Source organism: Homo sapiens, chromosome 21 (genome assembly GCF_000001405.40).
Source record: "Homo sapiens chromosome 21, GRCh38.p14 Primary Assembly".
Classification (NCBI taxonomy): Eukaryota; Metazoa; Chordata; class Mammalia; order Primates; family Hominidae; genus Homo; species Homo sapiens.
In genome coordinates, this window is record NC_000021.9 from 16,265,419 (window position 1) to 16,286,943 (window position 21,525).

Consider the following 21,525-nt stretch of genomic DNA (forward strand, 5'->3'; position numbering starts at 1 on the left):
GTTATGCTGTTTTTTAAAATTATTGTCAGTCTTGTTTCTCTTATAGCACAAGGTCTCTCTTAATTATGTAATTTAAAAAATGTATCCTTCTCTTCAAGACCAGCCTGACTAACATGGTGAAACGCTGTCTCTACTAAAAATACAAAAATTAGCCTGGTGTGGTGGCACACACCTGTAATCCGAGCTACTCGGGAGGCTGGGGCAGGAGAATCACTTGAACCCAGGAGGCAGAGGTTGCAGTGTGCCAAGATCACACCACTGCACTCCAGCCTGGGTGACAGGGTGAGACTCCGTCTTAAAAAAAAAAAAAAAAAAGGTATCCTTCTCAACATTTCTGAGACTATATCTCTTAAATTTGTTTTGCAGCTCTCCAAGGACCAGTTGTTTCTCAAATAACTGGTCCTTGGGGAGCTCAGTGGATTGCCTGAAAAACTCTGATTGAGTTGGGGAAGATTTCTAACAGGATGGAATATTTGAGATTTACATAGGAATTTTCCAGGTGAAGAAGGGGAATATGCCATTAGATCTACAAAGACTGTAATCCAGTAGTTGGGTACTAGAAGTAGAGATGAAAATTTCATTGGCTGTTAAGTTTTCAGCATCAATAATTAGAAGCACACTGATACAGCCTGAAACAGGTAACAAGGACACTCACATAGAGTGGATCAAACAAGATAGAAATTTACTTCTCTTTCCTATCATGTCTGGAGGAAGATAGGCCAACGAGAGCAGGCATGTGGCTCATCACCTTAAAGATATCTACCGCCTCAGATTCTTTCTATCTTATTATCAACCGTTTTTACATGAATGCGTGAAGCTTCCTGAACTGTCTGTATATTATGGCAGTAATAGACTATAAGCAGAAATTAATGATCATCTCTCTTTTTTTGTTCACACAAATCAGATTTTGAAACTTTAAGGTTTCTTAGGGAATTTATAGTTCTACAAAACACTTAGAAATGCTGCCTTCGGTTACGGTATCTCCATTAGGTTCCAATTCTTTGGTGTCAGGACAATTTCTTACGTGTTTTGGAGCCCCTCTGCTATATAGCAGACTCTCAAAAATATGTAATAATAAGGGGAGAAAGAAAAGTAAGGAATATGACTTTCATGTAGATTTGAAGTTGTAATTTCATTGATCTCGAAGAGTTGGAAGGATTTAGGTAATCTTATGCAGATAATGGTAATTTTAAAGAAAAGGTCTCATTATGTCATAGTCACTATGTGGACTAAATAAAAGGAAATAAATGAAAAGGTTGTGTTACAGTTATCATTCAAAAACATCCAAATGAAAAAAGTATTTTTTAAATCAGATATGCATTTATTTTGGGGTGGATTTTGGCATTATGCACAAGTGTTCTCTTGAAAAGCAATTCATAGGACCCTAACTGAACTTTTGGATTATAACAGAGGTAATGTCATTCTGCCAAAACACACTGAAATTAGCAAAAGCCAGTACCCTTACTAATTTGATTCTTATTAAGGGAATCCAAGTGATTGAAAACCTGAGATGAGATTTAACTATTTCCGTCATCAAATTCATAACATAAAGGGGAAGCATAACATTGCCAGTTAGGAGAGGGTAAATTCAATTTGGAATTTTCCAGTAGTAGGACAAAAAATAATAAACTCATTATTCTCTTCAGATTATTACCATTATTGCTGCTGTTGTTTTGAGTACAATGACTGCTTACTTGTGCTCTCTGACAGTATATAACCAATTAGGGGATTTGAAATATAGGGAGTCATTTTTGAACAAGGAAAAGGCAGCATAGAATCTATCTATTTGCATATCTTCAAAAGGATTTATTTTTATAGCTAGTTTACCCATTGCCTATTTACATACATGAGTTTGGACCAAATAATGTTCTAAAATCTATCCAAGTTTTTAAAAAATTCTGTTTGGAAATCAAATTTTGTACTAATTTTGTCAATTATTGTTGTAAAAATCTGAAATGCCAGACCTTTTATTTAAAATATCAACATGGGTATGAAAAATAATAACATGGGAAGATGGTATCTATCATTTGACGGGCTTTCATCAACCCTGTATGATACACTCCAATCCTATCATGAGCTCTTTGAAAAGGATTTAGTCTCTTTTTGTCAGATGAGGATAACCCCAGACATTTAAGGAGCTGATGTTTTCTCAATTCCAGAAAAAGAATTGGAACTCAAATCTGTGAGGCACGAAAGTCCCGAAGCCCTCATTCTCCACTGTTACAAATTTGCAGAAATCTGAGTGATATGAAAAATATTTATTTTTATTGATGCTTTATACACATATCCATATTACTTTACATACAATGAATACTTGTGTAAAATTATTTAAAATAAGGTGCTTCATATGTTCAGTGTTTTGTTTTTGACTAAATAAAATATTTATTGAATGCCATTTAAGAGCCCTGCTACATGTTGGGAATACAGTTGTAGGCACAAAAAGGCATGATTCTTACTTTTGGGGAGTAAATGGTCTTTAGGGATCATTTGGTTTTTGCACCATAGGTGAGCAGAACACCCAAAGCAATGAGTCAAAGTGGATGATATAATTTTTCTTATTCCCAAATGCAAATAAAATGTATCTTCAATAAAGTAGATCTGTAGTATTTCCAAGGAAAGTGTTATTTTCATTGAAAAACACATACCATGCTTTCTGTAGACTCTTAAATATCAATCTTCAAATTAAAAAAAAGGTTTTACTTCCACTGCCCTCCCCAACCAGCCCATGAACATGTGGCGCACACACCAGCAGAACACATACATACATAGAATCTGAAATAAACCTACATGTGAAATGACCAAATGGTGCATCTGGATTAGAGTTTTAGACAGATCTGTGCTATTATTTAATTTGTTAGCATAATTATATTTTATGTTTTATTTTCTTACACTTAGGAATTTTTAAACTGTAAAAACCTTATATTATATCATTACATTATTACCGACATACCTCATTACATTTATCAACTGGTTTTTTTTTTTCAGAATTTTCAAGAGTTGTAGCACATTCATAAGATTTTGTGCCTGTTATTCTGTCTTGAATATTGGTGCAAATTTTGTATTTTCATTGCAAAATGCCAGCCTCTTAAGTAACTGTAACTCATCATATGACAGGTGGAATAAAATGGCTACCAGTAATGCAGAGTTAAGCTAGGAAATAGTTTAGCTTTTAGTGTTAATTTTACTTCAAGGAAATTAGAGCATTTTATACATTTATAACCATCAGTCTTGGCTGAAATACTTAATGGAGGCATGATAACATATCTTGTACCTTTATAGATGTTGTAGCTCAAAATTATGTTTAAAAGTTGCTTTTCCAATTAGGAGATCCTAACTTCGTTGGCAAAGAAATAATACACGGTAAAACAAACAAACCACCAATATAGGCATTATGAAAGAGGAAAAACTTAATAATTGGCATTGCAAATGGGTAATTATCTAATTATCTACAGAAGAAAATGTTAAATGACATAATAAACAGAATTAGAAAAACTGGGCAAGATACAAATATTAGCTTTTCAGGTCAGACCATAGCACAAAAGGAGATAGCAAAGTAAGATTTCAGTTTGGGATTAAAACCTCTTAAAAAGGATTTTAAAAAGATCAATTAAATTTGGGCTTCAATTTCTCCATGAAATGCTACAATGTATGGGATTAAATATATACATTATTGATATGACTAGTTTAAAACTGTTCATGACATCTTACCTGAAGTTGTATCCCTCCTGGAAGACAAGAATGTAACAAATATTCTGAAAAAACTTCAGAAAGTATATTATTATTGGAATTATAATTATTTGATGAAATTCAATTAGTGTTTATTAATAATGAGCTTGACATAGAATGCATTATATAGACGGTCACCCAAGTGTCTAATCTTACACACTAAAATATACATGCTGGGAAATGAAGATAGGGAAAATATAATGATGGCAGAACATAACATTACCAAAATATAAATTGTCTCTAGAGATTATTGTATCTTCCACTGTTCCACAGAAAGAATAATTTTGATATTCTATTGCACATTGATAGTCATGGGATCTCTTCAGGAATTTTTTTTTCTTATGATAATGCTTGTGTTCTCGTCTTACAAAATTTTAAGAAAATTTCTTGTGAAAATGTGCTACTCTCTAAGACAGGCTACTGTCTAATTGTTGCCAAGCACAAGCTATAACTATGATAATGAGATTGGCTTATTTCCTTTGTGTTTGTCATTCAGACCTGTTTTAAAATCTTGCAGTTTTAGATGTCAAATAGTCTGTGATGTAAAATCACCTAGATGACATGTTTCCACACTTGTCATCAACATGAAATAATCATATTTCAGCACAGCTCCTCTGTCATATGAGAATTATGTGCCACAGAATCCAGATCCTGGAAAACTACAGGACCCTAATGTGTGTGTTATCAGATTAAAACACCTGAAAATTTAGAATTTATGCATAATTAGCCATTTCAAAGACTTCACAGAATGAAAATAATCTACTGGGCAAAACATAATATATATATATATGAAATCAAACATTGAATGAACACATGCTTTGTGTCAGGCATTGCTCTAAATACTTTAAATATATTCTCATTTAACCTTTCAAATTCTTTATGGGTTGAGTACTATTATCATTTCTATGTTATAGTTTGTAAATAGCTTCCAGAAGGTAAGGTCTAAAGTCACATTGCTAGTTTTTGGTTGAAAGGGACTCTGAACCCAGGCAAGCCAACTCCAGGGTTTGCACACTAATGTATAGCTATACTTTTAAGAAAACTATGATTACTAGATATTTCAATTATATTTCAAAGGTCTTAGGTAAGTTAATTGTAGAATTGGGATAATGTCTTGGGTTCTTGGAGTACACTGCAATCACCATGTTCAGCTCTTTAGGATAATATGACAAATTCTAGCCTGTGCACAACTGTTTCTCTGCCGGGTACATTTTCAGCTGTTTCTCTCCTTAACCTCTGCAATAGTAATCCAATCACCCTGAGATTCCTCATAGGTATTATAGCACAGCATTAAACACTAGCCAGTTTCACCAGGGCTTTACAATTCTTGTTATGCTCTATCTAGGAGAAAACAGAACCAGTTTTTTTTTCTTTTAACTTTTCATCACTGATAGAGGCCTGGTCTGAAAGTTTTTTATCATTTGAACCTACAGAACTGGATTCTAGAATTTATAGTGCCTGCCAAGTTGTGTGTAACCCTCGTGCTGGTTCTTGGGTTCTAATTGCTGCTGCATTCAACCCAACCTCCTGGCACCCCATTTGGACATTCTACATGGAACAATCAATTTCCCACCTTAGAATCTAAATTCTGATTATTTTAATCCGTGTTGGCTCTCCTTGTCCAGGCTCCCCCTGCCCATGGTTCTGATGTCCCAAAAGGCTTTCATACAGAATGCTGCTACGTAGCAAAATAACTTTTATAATAGTTCTTGACTTGGATCTGCTATTTGGCTGTAGGTCTGTGAACCCTAACATTACCTGCAACATTATATGCATGTTCATAAGCACATTTTTTTTTTTCTGAGCAGGGCCTAGAGTTTTAATTTTTTTCTTTCAAAGGTGTCTGTAATCCAATAATACTTAAAACCACTGCTACTAACAGATACAAAGCAAAAGAGAAGGGTGGTTTCTTGTTTTGACACCTGTGTTAGTCCATTTTGTGTGGCCATAACAAAATAGCACAAAGTGAGTAATTTATGAAGAACAGAAATTTACTCTCTCAAAATTCTGGAGGCTGTAAGTCCAAGATCAAGACTCCAGCAGGTTCAGTGTCTCTGACGGCTGCTGTCCATTTCCAAGATGGTACATCCTTGCTGCATCCTCCAGAGGGGAGGAACACTGGGTCTTCATGTGGCAGGAGGCTGAAGGGCAAGAAATCCTAATGCTACATGAAGCGTTAATCCCCTTAATCCCATTTACAAGGGGAGGAGCCCTCATGGCCTAACCAGTTTTTAAAGTCCCTACCTCTTAATACATCACATTAAACATTAAGTTTCAACATTTAAATTTGGAATTTTGGGTAGTATATATTCAAACCATAGCAACCCCTGAATTAAATTATTTAAACATAAAGCAATATGTTCCTGAAATTACTATTTCACATGTTTAATATGTGCATGTGACTAGTGGCTAACGTATTGAACAGCACAGCTTATAGCAATAAGTGATGTTGTGCAAGTTTAAAATATGGTGGCAGAGAGTAATATTGCAACTGGGCTTTTGATTGTTTGTGAGAACCCAGTATTAACAGTCATATGAACAGTAGAGTATGCCTACTAAGAAGGTATAGTTAAACATTATTGTACATGTTTGAGTCTAAGAAATGCTAGCTGCATTTGATCTATATCAATGCCATATGGGTTTTTAAAAATCATGTATTGAATGTGATTTTCAAGTGGTTCAATGATGTAACAGTGTTGGTAGGGTGATACTTTATAGAAATAAAGTAAATTGTGTAATTGAATTCAGTAGGAATTCATAAGTTCTGAAAATGTGGTAATAGTCTACAAACCTTGAAATAAAGTGTAAAATATCACAGCTTTAAACAATGCTGGAATTGGTAAATATTGTTATGAAGACAGTAACAAAACATACTAAATAATTGATAAAGCTATAAAAACAAATATGAATATAGTATGTTATAAGTAGTGGTTACTAGAGAGCAGATGATAATATACATTATATTTAAACATATCTCTATAGAGTCAACAAAATAAAATAAACATTTTGGTAAAAATTACGTAAGCAACAAAATGAATTAGAGTGTATCTCTGCCTCATTACAAGTATAACAATAAATATTTTACAAACAACTGTTAGAAATCATGTGATAAAATAATAGACGTTAAGGAACTGCAATATTTTCATCCATATTAGTAAATCAGGAGCATCAGGAAAAAAGAGAATAAGTGTTAATCAAACTGATAGATCATTGGATATCCTTATGAAGGTTGTATTTGCAGCATCAGGTAGAGTTCAGCTCTTCCTGTGACGGGTAAAGTCTTTATCTCTATTTTTCTCCCAAGTGTTGACCTTCCAAGATATTATTCTGCAAATCTCTTAGCAAGCACATTTCTGACTTGTACAGCATTGAGCTTAAATCTGTATTGGAACAACATTTCAACCGTATTTGAGTCATAGATTATGTTAGTAAAATGTTTATGTTTAAAATTTTTAGGGAAAAGCACCATTCTACTTCTAATTCACAGTGTAGGTGATGACTTATATTTGTAGGAAAAGTAAAGCTACAGCGCGGTGTTTTCTCTAGTATTGCTCTACCGTCAGAGAGTATTACCCTATTATTGTTCTCTTTAAATACAGGGTAATATTTGGCTGTGTTCTATAATGCCAACAAATACTTCACCTTAAAGGGCATTTTGGAAAAGTTCTTGTCAAGATTGGTTGACATTATTATAATCAAATTAAAGTTTTCCTTGAATAAAAACATCATATACTGAGAGAAAAGAAAAGGATATTTGACGGATAAATGTTGCTTCCATCTTGTTAAAGAGTCTTTACCATTCCTTTTATAAAAATCTCAGTATTAAGAGTCATGGTCTCTTTAGAACATTGCCTTAAAGTTATCTGTAACAATAAGCATTCCTATGAACTATTAGTTTTAAATAGAGTGAAAAGATGTTTCTTTCAAATAATTTTTCTTTGTTGCCAAATTCCCAAACTTTCTTTCAGTCAAAAAAAAAAAAAAAAAAAAAACCACAGGGCAACACACACACAGAGACAGAGAGGGAGAAGAGAGACAGAGACAGAGAGAGAGAGCGAGAATTCACAGAGGGACTGAATGAATGTCCAAGATCTTGATATAACGCAAGGGAAATTGAACTGATAATCTTCACCTGTTTGTCCTGTCAGTTTACAAAAATATAGGCTTTGAGCTCAGGCACCATGGATTGGGATCCCATCTCTACCTTTTACTTACTGTCATTTAACCACTATAGGTCTCAGTTTTCACACCTTTTAAATGCAGAGAAAGTAGTAATTCCATCATAAAGGCAAAGATCTTATGCCTTATTTATCTTTTCCTAGAGGTAAGTACTCTATCTAGCATATAATATGCATGAAATAAACAGCAGTTAAATAACTGAATAAAGGGCCGGGCGTGGTGGCTCACGCCTGTAATCTCAGCACTTTGGGAAGCTGAGGTGAGTGGATCACCTGAGGTCAGGAGTTCGAGACCAGCCTGGCCAACATGGCGAAACTCTGTCTCTACTAAAAATACAAAAATTAGTTGGGTGTGGTAGCGCATGCCTGTAATCCTAGCTACTCAGAAGGCTGAGACAGGAGAATCACCTGAACCCAGGAGGAGGAAGTTGCAGTGAGCCAAGATCTCACCACTGCACTCCAGCCTGGGCAACAGAACAAGACTCTGTCTCAAAAAAAAAAAAAAAAAGTTGAAGAAAATATTATGGATATTTATGAATATAAATATTCATAATAAAATAAAATGTTTATGAATGCAATTGAATAACATAACCAACAGATGCTAGGACAACAGCCAACAGGTGACTATTTGGTAATAATGATAGTTAATTATGCTTCCACTTACTAAGTTATTCTTGTTAATTTAAGCATCGTTTAAACTACATTTTGTATGAAATGGGTGTATTATTTTATTTCTTACATTCTACTTCAACTGGTTATCTTATATTTATATTGTTGTGTTTCAGCTAGATATGCTGTTGTGTTAGAACATACACTGTTATACACGATATATCTAGAACCTGTATTTTAGCAAACTTTTTGTTTCAGAAAGATAATAGAACTTTTTTCATTATTATACATAAAGTATGCTTTTTTTCTCCTGTGCTAAAACCTAAAGATTCTGCTTTAATTTTGGCTAAATTATTTTTTTCCCATCACTATCTATATTTAGAGCTTACTTCTGAGTTGTAGTTGGAAGAATTAAATGTGGGAGAGTATGTTTTGCCAAACCCAATCAGAAGGACTGCCTGGACTCTGTACATGAGCCTGTTGTGACCTGATTCTCATGTATTCTCGACACAATGCTGAAGGTCCAAAGCCCTGGCACTTCTAGGGAGCAAATACCTCCAGAGTTGAGTAAACCTGAATCAGGAACACTTTCTCTGACTGAATTCTACCTCAACAATATGCATATTCAAAAAAGAAAAGGTAACATCCTTGGAAAATATGTGCTGGGAACTGCCATATTCAAAATACTTCTAAAATAAATGGAGAGTTTTTTTTTTTTTTTAAACCAGGAAAAAAACTCTTGTGAAGAATTAGTTTCTAAGTTTTTGGTTTCTAAGTAGTTTCTAAGTTTTCTTTGTATTTTATTGATCTCAAATGTTGTTGGGTTTTATACATCACGTAACTTTTGATGTTACTTACAGAATACTCTAATTCTATCATTAGATGTGTTTATTTCTGAAAAGTGAGTGATTGTTGAATAGAATCCCATTAGCAACATTAATGTTACAATTTAAAGACAATAATTTCTTGTAGAACTATGACGAGGATACAAGTTTTGCAATGTTAAACATTTTTGGAGGTGTACTTCCCTTGAGTGGGCACAGTTTTAGTCATTTTGATCTATTTTTAAGCTTCAGTTTGAAAAAGTCATACCTCATTTGTCCTTATAAATATTTATGTCATCTTATAACCAAATTAACTCCTAGATTTTCATTTGAAATAACTCACTTTGGCTGAGTGCAGTGGCTCACGCCTGTAATCCCAGCACTCTGGGAGGCCTAGGTGGGCAGATAGCTTGAGCTCAGGAGTTCAAGACTAGCTTGGCCAACATGGTGAAACACCATCTCTCTTGAAAATATAAAAACTATCCAGGCATGGTGGTGCATGCCTGTAATCCCAGCTACTGGGGAGGCTGAGGCACGAGAATCACTTGAACCCTGGAGGTGGAGGTTGCAGCAAGCCAAGATTGTGCCACTGCACTCCAGCCTGGGCAACAGAGCGAGACTCTGGCTCACAAAACAAACAAAAAAACCTCACTTCAATAGTATACACTGCAAAAGCATAACTATAAAATGGAATAAGACTTTATATGTTTTGCTTGACATTTTATATGCCTTATATATAACTTTTTTTACTTAAATGAGAATAGAATACAATATTTAAACCAATAGCAAGGATGGACTATATGTACAAATCTTCACTATGAGCTTCAAAGGAATGTGTACTAATTGGAAAAACAGAAATAAGGCTAGACATAGAGGATTCTGTTATGTCTCCTCCGAGTGACTAAATGGCTTCACAATATTACATATAGAACCTGCAGATGTAGCCCATTATTGACAAATATTATGGTTATTTTGATATAAATATTTTGATATTATTTTGGTTATTATCATTTTGGTATCATCTTTATGGCTCAAATAAGTTTTCCAATTTTCCTTGAAACATCTTTAACCCTCCTTAAACATCCATTTATAAGCAAAGAAGCATATCGTCTCCCATTACCATGTTGGTCCACCTTCAGAACATTAAAAATAACTCATTAATGTAGTCTTCCACCTAAAGAGTTCTTCTCTAATTTTCTTTAAAAAGTTCTTTAATAAGTTGAATTACTTCACCAGTTAAATTTTAATGTATTTGAGGGCGAACCCCATATTCTTCTTTTTTTTAGTATCTATTATGATCAATGAAATGTTTCTGTTTCATTGATTATATTAGACTTTTTGTTCGTATGGTGCCTATTTAAACACTGTATTAATAGCAGTTAATATATATTGAATGGTTAACATTTCCCAATAACGTTCTGGCATCTGTAGTAACTGACTTAATTCTCACCCTAATCCTTTGAGATCACACCTATTTTACAGACAAGAAAACCAATAAGAAGGATTATTAATTTGCCCAAAACCAATCAGCTATTAAGTGGCCATACTTTTTTTGACCCCCTAGAGTCTGGTTCCAGGGCCCCATGCTTTTCACTGCCTTAGTGTTTCTAAATTCATCTTCCTAAATATAGGACAAAACCTGAACCCTCCTGAAAGAGCAGTATAAAGTACAAAGGAGAGAGAAAAGATTGAGCAAAGGGAATAAAACTGCGAGTATGCCAGTTGAGCAAGCCACACGGTAATTTAACATAAGCCACCTGAAGCCAGGGTGAAAATCAAGGGTGGAAGCACACACACTTCTTGTGATGTGACAGGATGATTCATACCAGTCACTTTTAAAGCACTGTGTAATGAGCAGAGTCCTTAGAAACATCTTAGCATCAGATCAAGATACTGCTATTCCTCATACTGATTGATCTTTACTGATGTTTTAGACATTATATTTTAAAAATTCTGTGAAAGTGATTCCACGAGGGCATTAAGATTGTGCAAATCCAAATATATAGACTTCTGCTGCCTTTATTAAACTGAAAGAATTTTAGGAAGCCTAGAGAAATGTGATGAAAATGATGATGTTGGTCATGGTCATGATGAAGAATCTTGCCAGTTTACTAGCATCAAGTATAAATTACAATCTTTTGATGTCAGTGATGTTATTTTAGAGCTCAGGAAACTGGATCTTGGACAGGCCAAGGGGCACATAAGGTCAAAGAGCAAGTAGGTCCCTGAAGCTCAATCAGCATCTAGACCCTTACTCAAAAATCTATACTCTTCATCCTTACACTATAGATTTTTTCTCAAATCGGAATTTTGAAGGAAAATAACTACATGAGAAATTAACCATTATACTCTCTAGTTTAGGTATGTAATTGATAATTTTGATTAAAGACAGATCTACAAGCTATCCAGCAGGTGGGTGGTAAGGTTAACATTTTATAACAGAAGCAGGGACAAATATTGAAGTACTTACCTACTTCACCTGGCTCTACTGGAAGGGAGAAGATACCAAGCAAAACAAAATTATCCTTAGAATGAAGTTCTGGTTTATTTCAACTTGCTATTGTTGTTATTGCTGGTTTTAACATGTGATAACATTAGTTTGTTTGGGCTGCTATAATTGAATACCATAGATTAGGCAGCTTAAACAATAGAAATTTGTTTTCACACGGTTGTAGAGGTTAGAAGTCATGATCAAGGGCTTTGGTTTCTGGCAAGGGCTCTCTTTCTGGCTTGTAGATGTCCGTCTTCCTATGGCCTCATATGGCTTTTCCTCCATATGTGTGTGCACAGAAAGAAAAAGAGTGAATTCTCTCTTGTCTGTTCTTATAAGGACGCTAATACTGTTGGATCAGAGTCCCATCATTATGACCTCGTTTAACCTTCATTACTTCTTTAGAGGTTCCATCCCTGCGTATAGTCACACTGCGGGTTAGGGCTTCAACATGTAAATTTTAAGAGGATACAAACATTCAGTCCATAACAATATGAAAACCTCAACTTGTCTCTAGGTTTATCAGAGGCTCTCTAAAAGCTTTGTTAAACCTCGTAGCATGGAGTCACATTGCTATCTATATTCTCGTTGTAAATACACACATCCAGATTCAAGTTGTCAATTGCTTCCACCCTTTACCACCTCCAAGCTATTCTTGGGGCCACATTCTCTCGCTTTGGCTCCCAGAGTTTCAGGCAGAAAAGAGAGTGCTATTGGTTGCCACTTCTCAAGCCCTCCAGTAACATCTACATTCAACTTTGCCTCCTCCTCCACCTTGTTATGAATTGCAAGACCCCATGAAAATCAATGGAACACATCCCTTAGAAAAAGAATGGGGAGCCCTACTCTAGAACTTCACTAATATTTTGAAGAGCAAATTCTTCAAGGGAATGGTCAAACCAATAATTTCTGCTTCTCAGAAAATACTTGTCACAATAGAAATTGAGGTTTGATAATACAGATTCTGTCCTAAAATATTATGATTCCTTTGGTGATTAATGAAAGTAAACTATCACATTAACATTTTGATGTGATATAACTCATTAACATATAGTCTTATGAAAAAAATTATTGATTTTTACATAGCCATACTAAATATTAAACTCACTACTATAAAATTAGCTTATTGTTTAATTATTCCACAAAAGAGGAATATATATTTCAGATCATTTTCCATTTTCTAAAATAGCCCTTTTCACATATTTGCATAACTGCAAGTATGTCTTCAGCATCCATTGATTTACTGATTTTATATATTTAAAGGCAAATTTTTTAGGTATATTTGAAGAGCCATTGGACTTTCTATGCTTTCAGAAACAGTAGAATGCATATTAATTATAATAATAATTTATATCAATGCTGAATAATAATATTGAACTTTATATTACAATTATGGTTCCAATATGTATTTCATAAATTTCTAAATCTTAATACCTAAATAGAATGCTATGAGGCACTGGAATGTTTAATACACAACTAAATTTTCTTTCTTTTGAAAATTTGTCAAATTTCTGTGACTCAAATTTGATAGAAGAGAATTCTTTGACCTACTGGTTCCTATGATTCACATACGAAGGGTGATACCTATGGGTATAGAGCAAATGCGTGTTTTATTTATAATAGCAACTTTGTTTTAGATAAATTCAGTGAAATAATAAATGTATATGACTTTTTTATGTGAATGGTTAAGGAATGATTTTATGTTTCTTTTATTTTACCTCTTTAAAAAAGAAATCATGTGTTTGAGAGTTTGTGCATTTCTATCTTCTTAAATATTAACAACATTTCTGGATATATGGTTATAGAGGTTTGCATAATATTTAGTCAAATCAGATTTATTTATATGTACTTTAGAAGTATTCTTTTTAAACAGTATTCAACTTTCTCTGACATATGCAGCTGCAGCAAAAAACGTTTACTGAAAGATACCTTGGAATCATTTGTGTACAGAGTTTAAAAGTTAATGTTGTCTTATTTACCAAAATAAAATAAGAAAATAAAGATTTGATAGGGCCAGAATGTTAATTAGACTAGAAAATGCAACTTTTTATTCTGTAAATAGATCAGAGTGTGTTAAAGCAATCTGAAAATCTGAAGCATAAATGTAGAAAAAATTTTAAACTTCTTTACTCTTTGTTAACTCATCAAGTTGAAATGAAAGTTAAGTGCATTTAAAGGCATTTTCAGTAGAAAACAGCTTTTCTTTGGGAGCTGCTGGGCAAACATCCTTTTTTTAATGAAATAGATATTGTATATATGATAAAGGTAAATAAATACAGATAAAGCACTTAGATGAAAAAAATAGACTGCAAACACTGTTATACATTCACTTGTAGGTTCTTAAGTCATTTTTTTTGTTCTTTTGTTCTGTAATTGATTGCTAGCACCCCCTTTAACCCACCTTAAAGGGCAAGCAGGAAATTCATGTTTTCGTTCATCAGCCCATCCCTCTGAAAAGCGTTCGATATTAAAACAGTTTTCAAGGAGCAAAAGCAGAGGAAAGAAGAGGCCCAGCTAGACTGTAGCAAGGTTAGAAGATACACGCAAGATTGCCTGCCACACACATCGGGTCTTGTTCCTGTCCAGTATTTGCATGGAGATATCAAGTTAATTAGGGTAGGACTCTGTTCTTCGCTTTCTATGTGACCTTTTATTATATCTGTGGCTCTCTAGTTCATATGGTGTCATAAAGCTATGGGAAAGTCTTTCTAGTGTTTGACACAAACTGCAAAAGAAATAAGCATTGATATTTCCCTTTGCCTGAAGGTTTTTACAGCAGCAAAATACTGCAGAGGCAAAGTTGATATTGTGGTAGATTTGCTGTGGGTGTAAGAATGTTTCTTTTGTCTTTCGGCTCCCCGCTTCCCCCGATGATGATCAGGTGCGACCTAGAGAGTTGTGGAGAGGAATGGGGTATTGGTTGGGGAGGGGGTGCGGGTTAGTTCAGGAGGAGGTTACATGGCGGAATTCCCACGAATGCTGGCGAAGGATGAAAAAGATGAAGAAATCTTGTTTTTCTGAACGAGAGGATTCTCTGCATGACTTCCCCACTGTTGGGGTGATGAGCTTTCAGGCTGAGATTTTATTAACAATTCATATGGAGATTGAGGGCAGTGGAGGAGCAGATTCTCACATAAACTTGATCTGTCCATGAATGCAGTTCTCTGTTTGCCCTGACCCTGCATGGCTTAAGACACTGCCTGTGAGGCCAGTGTGCCAGACACAAAGAAAGAAATGAAAAGCAAGCACATTCCAGGAGTCTGCACAAAGGAGCCCGGCCGTTTCTAGTCGTCTCCCCAGAGAGGATCTTATCTCTGCACAGCCAAAAACCTCTAAAATGTTTATTTGTGTACTTAAAGTTTTAAAATCCATGTGGCTGTTCATTAAGCAACAGTCAATAGAGAGGTTTTGTGAGGTTTTAAAATGTTGTTTTCTGAACTTGTTGAAACTGGAAAAATATTTGCAAGGGTACATTTTCTGAAGTTTAGCTTTAGAAGTCACTGGCCTTGAGTTGTTTTTACTTTGTCAATTGGTAGGTAGCCTGCAAAATGAGTCCTTTCCAGCTTTGGGAGAGGCCAGAACAACATCTTAAATCTTGATTTGACTTCGTAATACATCCTGACACTGCAAGCTCTGAAACTTGTGGCAGAGAGTTAATGCATGAGACAAAACTGACCTGGGATCACAAGTGGACATCCTCACGCTCATGATCACAGACCACAGTGTTACATTAGAAAAACTATGGGAGAAGCAAGTGCAGAGAAAAGTTTGAGTGAGAAGAAAGAGTGAGAGAAACTAGGAACTTTTATTATAATGTTTTTACAATTATTGGCAGTTCACTATCTCTAGAAGCATTATAACAGGATAATGACAAGCTCTCACAAGACATTTCTCTGTAACTTAATATAATAGGTTTTATTGTTTGACAAATGCATTGTCTGAAAGTATGACATCTTTAGGTTCAGGGGATAAAAACTCGATATACATAATTCTGCTGCTCAAATACATGTTTCCACAGATACTTAAAATTCAGAAAATCCAGATACACAGGCTTTTTAATTTTGCATATGTGTTTAGCTGTTCAAATTACTTCAAACTTTTATGGTTCATTAATTAAATAACCAGTAGAGGAATGCAGACAAATGCCATTAATTATGATAGGTTTTGTTCCTTTCATTTTATAGTGGTTTTATTTCCATGAAATTAACTGTTGTACTTAGGCTAATTGTCAGTAATTGGTGACAAAATCACTTCATTGTTTTTCTATAGCATGATACTAATGAGGATATTTGCAATATTGGCCCAACCATGTGTGTATTTTACCTTCTGTGTTTAGTCAGTGGTAGATAATATCAAATGCAACTTTTTAAGAGAACCATGAGATAAAACATTTCTATTAATAATTAAACAAGTCTTTTAAACAGCCTGTCATAAATTAATTTTAAAACATCGAGATTGAAGGAAGCTTTTATTTTAGGTTTAGTTGGTTTCATGAAATATCAACTAATTTTCCTGATTTGAATTGAATTGTTTTGGAATCATCTATGCAATATCGCAATTACAAATCTCAACTGCTTAGCCACATGTATTTTTATTATTCTATTTGTGTAGGCAATGCTAAAATTAGCATTGCTAAACATGCTTTTGTGAGGTATCACAGAGCTGAGTGGGATTGCCTTTCTTTTCACACCTGATGGTTAAATTCTCATAATATATAGCAATATTACTTATTCTTGTTTTCTAACAGTATTTTCCTGTTTCATTTTGCCACATGAAAATGTTTTTCAAAACATTGTATTTCAAATGAATATATATGAAACAGTTGAGATCATGAAAGCTTGGTTTTATGTATTTTTTTCAACATTAAAAAAATATACTTCCATGTAAGTAATGGGTTATAAAGAGAAAAAGCAGTGGGAGAGTATTCCATTTTGTGAAGTGAGATTTAATGCCAATGGCAGAAAATATTGCAACACTACTTATCCCATTAAAACAATCACAGCCAATACTGCTTTGCTCACTTCGTTCCTTAAAAGAATTCTTCTCAATAGATTCCCCTATGATTTTTATGAATTCGTAAGTTACAAAAGTTTTCTAGTACTTTGAAGTACAGTCTTTTTGCTTCTTTTTCTTATTCTAAGATGCTTTTACCAATCAAGTGCCATTTTACAGTTTATAGCCCACTCTGTTTGTTTTAAATGCAACCATAATGTATACCTTAGAGCTGAGTGTCTCCCAATCATCCTGAAAAAAGTTTTTACAAAGCAATTAGAAAAATAATTGCCTATTAAAAGGTGAAGATTGGTTTGAGTAGGGAGAGCAGAAACTGAACTCTGAAATTGAAAGCATTCATTGTTAGAGGAAACATATGCACCAAATCCAAAATTAAAGAAAACTCACAAAATACGTATCTTGGCAAGGGGAATTGTTTGAATTTTCTAAAGCTGTCAGTCCATTTTCTCTACTTTTTTTCCGGTAAAGAAAAACTTCAAATGGAAAGCTTCACCTTTTGTACAAAGTTGAAATGTTTTATTATTGCAGAATTGTTCTACACTGTACAAAACCAGAACAATTCAATAGCTTCCGGGGGGCCAGGGGATGGGGAAACAAATGAGAATCTTTCCATCATTCTAGAATACCCATAGCAGAGCAAAAATAAGTATAAAAATCTATGGTCATTTCCTTGAAAAAAAGAATCTTTTGATTACAGCAGTTATTTGAATACCCATTCAGGCTCTTTTGTGACATGTAATAAGTGCTCTTCTCCCAAATGAAAAATACTCTTAGGGAACAAAAATCAAACATAAACTACGTTCAGATGCTGCATTTCAATAGGTGACCCCATAGGATTAAGCAAAGGTTATTTTTCTTTTTTGCATGTGCTCTAAAAAATAAATTCCCCAGAGTTAAATTTTGTTTGTTTGTTTTTCATCTTACTGGTGTATTTCCAATATGTTTTCTTGCTTTTTGTCAGTTTCAAATATATAGAATGTGAAAAATAAACAAGGCGGGAACTGACTTCAAGTTTTAAGAGTGATAAAGTATTGTGAAAGTTACTTAGAGAAGATGATTTTTCTCTGATTTATCCTGCCATATTATAGACTCTGGAGAATACAATAATATGGAGGTTTTTTTCTCTTTCTTGAGTATTCTAACTGTTCAAGGAAAATACTAGAAAGAAGTAGGACTCTGGTAATACTATGAGCCATATCCATGGGCATCTAAATCCTGTAGAAAAAAATAATAAATACAGTTTGCTTCTCACTTAATCATACTTGACAACCATATAGACACTGCTGGGGCCATCATGAGTAGCAGGCGGTATGTTTGACTGTTTTGGCCCCAGAAGTCTTTATAATTGTAATCAGTTTCTTCATCAGTCCATGCTGTGCCAATACCCCTAACTAGCCATAGTGTCATTTTAAAAATTAAAAATAACCCACATTCAATAACATCAACAACAACAACCACCCCTCAGCATAAACTATGTTCTCTGTGTGAACTCACAGTACGGAGCAGTTGCATCCAACCCCTGGGCTCTGATTTACTTGGCACACTTGGGGTTAATCAAATTCCCCCACTGTGAGGTGCACACACATTTAGAGGACTATAACACACTCTAATGCTACCTAACTCTGCTGTCATTTTTAATATTTTCATGAGTTTTTTTTAAGTGATGTGCATAGCAGAAATAGCCTGACTTTTTCTTACTGCTAAATAGAGTGCCCACCAACTAAAGCAAACAACAATAAATTAAATAAAAAATGATCAGATGTAGAACATATTTATTCCAAGATAGTTTTAGTTTCTGTTGCCCAAATAAGTTTCACATTCTATGAAACTTGCCTTTTCCCAGGGGTTAAGCTCCTGCAGCACTTGAGATAGTGAGCAATGGCTTCATTAAAAAACATAAAGCATAACAAAACGATGTGGTAAACCTTGGGGTGCTTTTGTTTTTACTTATTTTAGAATGTACTAACAATTTTGTATGCCTCACAATAGAGGCATCCATGTATAAAGACTTGTAACTACTCTTATTATATTCACATTTTCTGGGGCCTTAATTTCATGGTGAACAATATCAATCTGTAACTGGGGCAAATTTACATGACATCACATACAAGGCCCAGCAGGTCAAAGGTGGATGAAACAGGTTCACTGCTGCATGCCATGTGTCTTACCTGGACAGGCAGCCATCAGCTCCTGCTTCAGGTGACCACTGTCTGCAGGTAAAACCAAACTCTGTACATTTTGCTCTTAGTGCCTTATGACCAGTTGTTTTCACTCATAAATAATGTTTGAATTGTAAGCTCTTTTGCTCTGGAATCCAGAAGCAACCAGTCACTAATGATCATTTTGCAAACTACCTAGTCATCTACCAGCTAAGAAAATAATGGCCTCTCACTCTCTTTTGTGTGTGTGTGTGTGTGTGTGTGTGTGTGTGTGTGTGTGTGTGTGTTAGAGCTGTTAGCATTCATCAACAACCTTAGTTGTCCCTACCAACATAGGCTTCATCAGAAACTTTTCTTTTTTTTTTTTTAGTAGCAAAGATAGGCTACTTAAGATTTTATCTCCAAGTATGAACATAGAAAATATAAAATATTCAAGCTCTAAATCATACTTTGGATATACCTTCTAATTCTCACTTTGAACTACCTGTGATAAGACGTGACATTTATGTTTTGTCATATTATTCAACATATAATTTAAAAATAATTTAAAATCACATCTAAAATTTTAAAAGAACTTAGGCACTAATATGTTTTGTAGTCTTACATTATTATTTAAAATAATAAAAGAGTAAAATTTTATAGAGTATATTTGTAGGTACATATTTTTCCTTGAAGGGTTACATGCAATGGAAAGAAGATAGATTAAGAAAGAACAGTCACCTATATGTAATTAAATTTCAAAATGATATAGAAAAAATTTACTGGAATGAAGAAAAAAATCTGCCTTTTAGACAACTACATGGAAGGTTTATTTTTATTTTGTAATACGGACTTTTGTTCCCGGATAACTTGTAACAAGCTCAAGATGTGGAGTATTAAATGAATTATTACAACATATAGCCTAGAAGTAGGACCGCATTGTAAACCATCAAAGGTATAACACACTAAAACAGGCCATGTGATTGTGGTTAACGCACTCATAGCGAGTGCAAGCAAACCTTAACCTTCTGGATTTTTACATGTTATGTTTTACTCTTTGGTTTACTTCTTCCTGTGATCAATACCCGGGCAAAGCCAGAGCTCTTCAGGAGAAGGTTGAGATTATAACAATGTCAGCTTTTGCTTTTAGCGGAGTGATGAGGTTATCAATAATGCATTGGAGATCTTGGGAACCTTTGACATACACATATCACAGCTGCCCCACGTTTATCGTAGGACTTGCAGGTCTGAGCTGAGTTGTCACCTCATCTGTGTTTGAGCCAGCCATTGATGCAGTCAGTCTCAAGTAATCTTGGGCACCTAGGGAAAGCTGTTGAGATTATTTAACTGAAACATTGCATTTGAGGAAGTTATTTAGGAGTGAGAATACATCTATGAAATGGCTTTTATTAAGAAGCTTGTTCAATATTCCTTTAATAACTTTTTGTCTCCCTAGCTCCCTTCTAATGTTTATAAGTCTTGTTGTTTCTGTGACAAGTTTATTCATATCCTAACAGCTTGTCTGGCAGCAGGGTTCGTGTTTTTTACTTGAGCTTTCTGGTCACGGTGGTGGCTGAGAGTAATGGAGGGGGAATAAGTGGGTGTGGAAATGCAAAGCTGTCTCTTGTTACATTTTATCGATCTCATTCTGGTGTCATTCAATTAAGACAGAAATGTGATGGATAGTCTCTGCCCAGATTCCTGGGTTGCTCTCCATCCCTTGCAGATACAGCTTTTGTGTTTTATTTTGGGGGAAGGGATGGGGAAAGGGCACGGGCAAGTGAGAGAAATCAAATATGCTATGTGATCTGAATTACAAATCAGTGTCTCTCTAAGGATGCTCCAAAATGTCAAACATGCCATGTTTATATTTTCACATACACAGAGTACTTCTGTTGATGTATGAGATGGGTTACTAGAATTTAAGTTGGGGTTAATTATTGTTGATTTATTTTCAAAGACCTGTGAGCTAACATCACTCTTCTACCAGCTCAAGATAATTAAAAATGAGCCACATAGAAAAATACTTGAGTCCAACTCATGCCATTTTTGAAGTTTGCAAATGAGAAATTATTTTCTCATTTTTTTTTTATGAGACTGTGATTCTAAGTTGACCTTTCTGCAAATAGACTTTCAGGCTGATAAAATGAAAATAGTAGGTATTTTTTTTTTTAGTTTATAAACAATTCATTCTAATTGTTGCCTATGTTATCAAGAAGTGTACTATTGTGAGTAAATTTCAGAATTTAGGACTGTGTGAATTCTGATCCTTACCCTTGATGATGTATTTTCCCTTAGCTATATCACTACCTTTGTTTGCTACCAGTGTTATAATGAGGGTTGTAGGAATTCATGGATGTGAGAGGCTCTAAAAGTAACAGTTCATGTATGCAAAGTTTTTTTTAAAAAGACATTAAAATCGCTACTGCAAGCACATATAATAAAAGCAGGATATGTTCAACAAACTCCCTTGCCCTTCTCAAAACAATGCCAGATTCAAATTGAGCATTCAGAATTTTCTAATCGAGGTTATGGCTTCTGATAAT

General features: G+C 34.5%; 1 long non-coding RNA gene and 1 other non-coding gene across 10 annotated transcripts in view; one reads left to right on the top strand and one right to left on the bottom strand.

Annotated features, from left to right (window-relative positions):
• The window catches only part of MIR99AHG (mir-99a-let-7c cluster host gene), a 561,240-nt gene that overhangs the window by 194,931 nt on the left and 344,784 nt on the right, over positions 1-21,525 (top strand). The gene's annotated exons all lie outside the window — the stretch shown is intronic.
• On the bottom strand, positions 19,278-19,350 carry SNORD74B (small nucleolar RNA, C/D box 74B). Its single transcript, NR_145757.1, has one exon. It is a non-coding gene; the product is annotated as a small nucleolar RNA, C/D box 74B (small nucleolar RNA).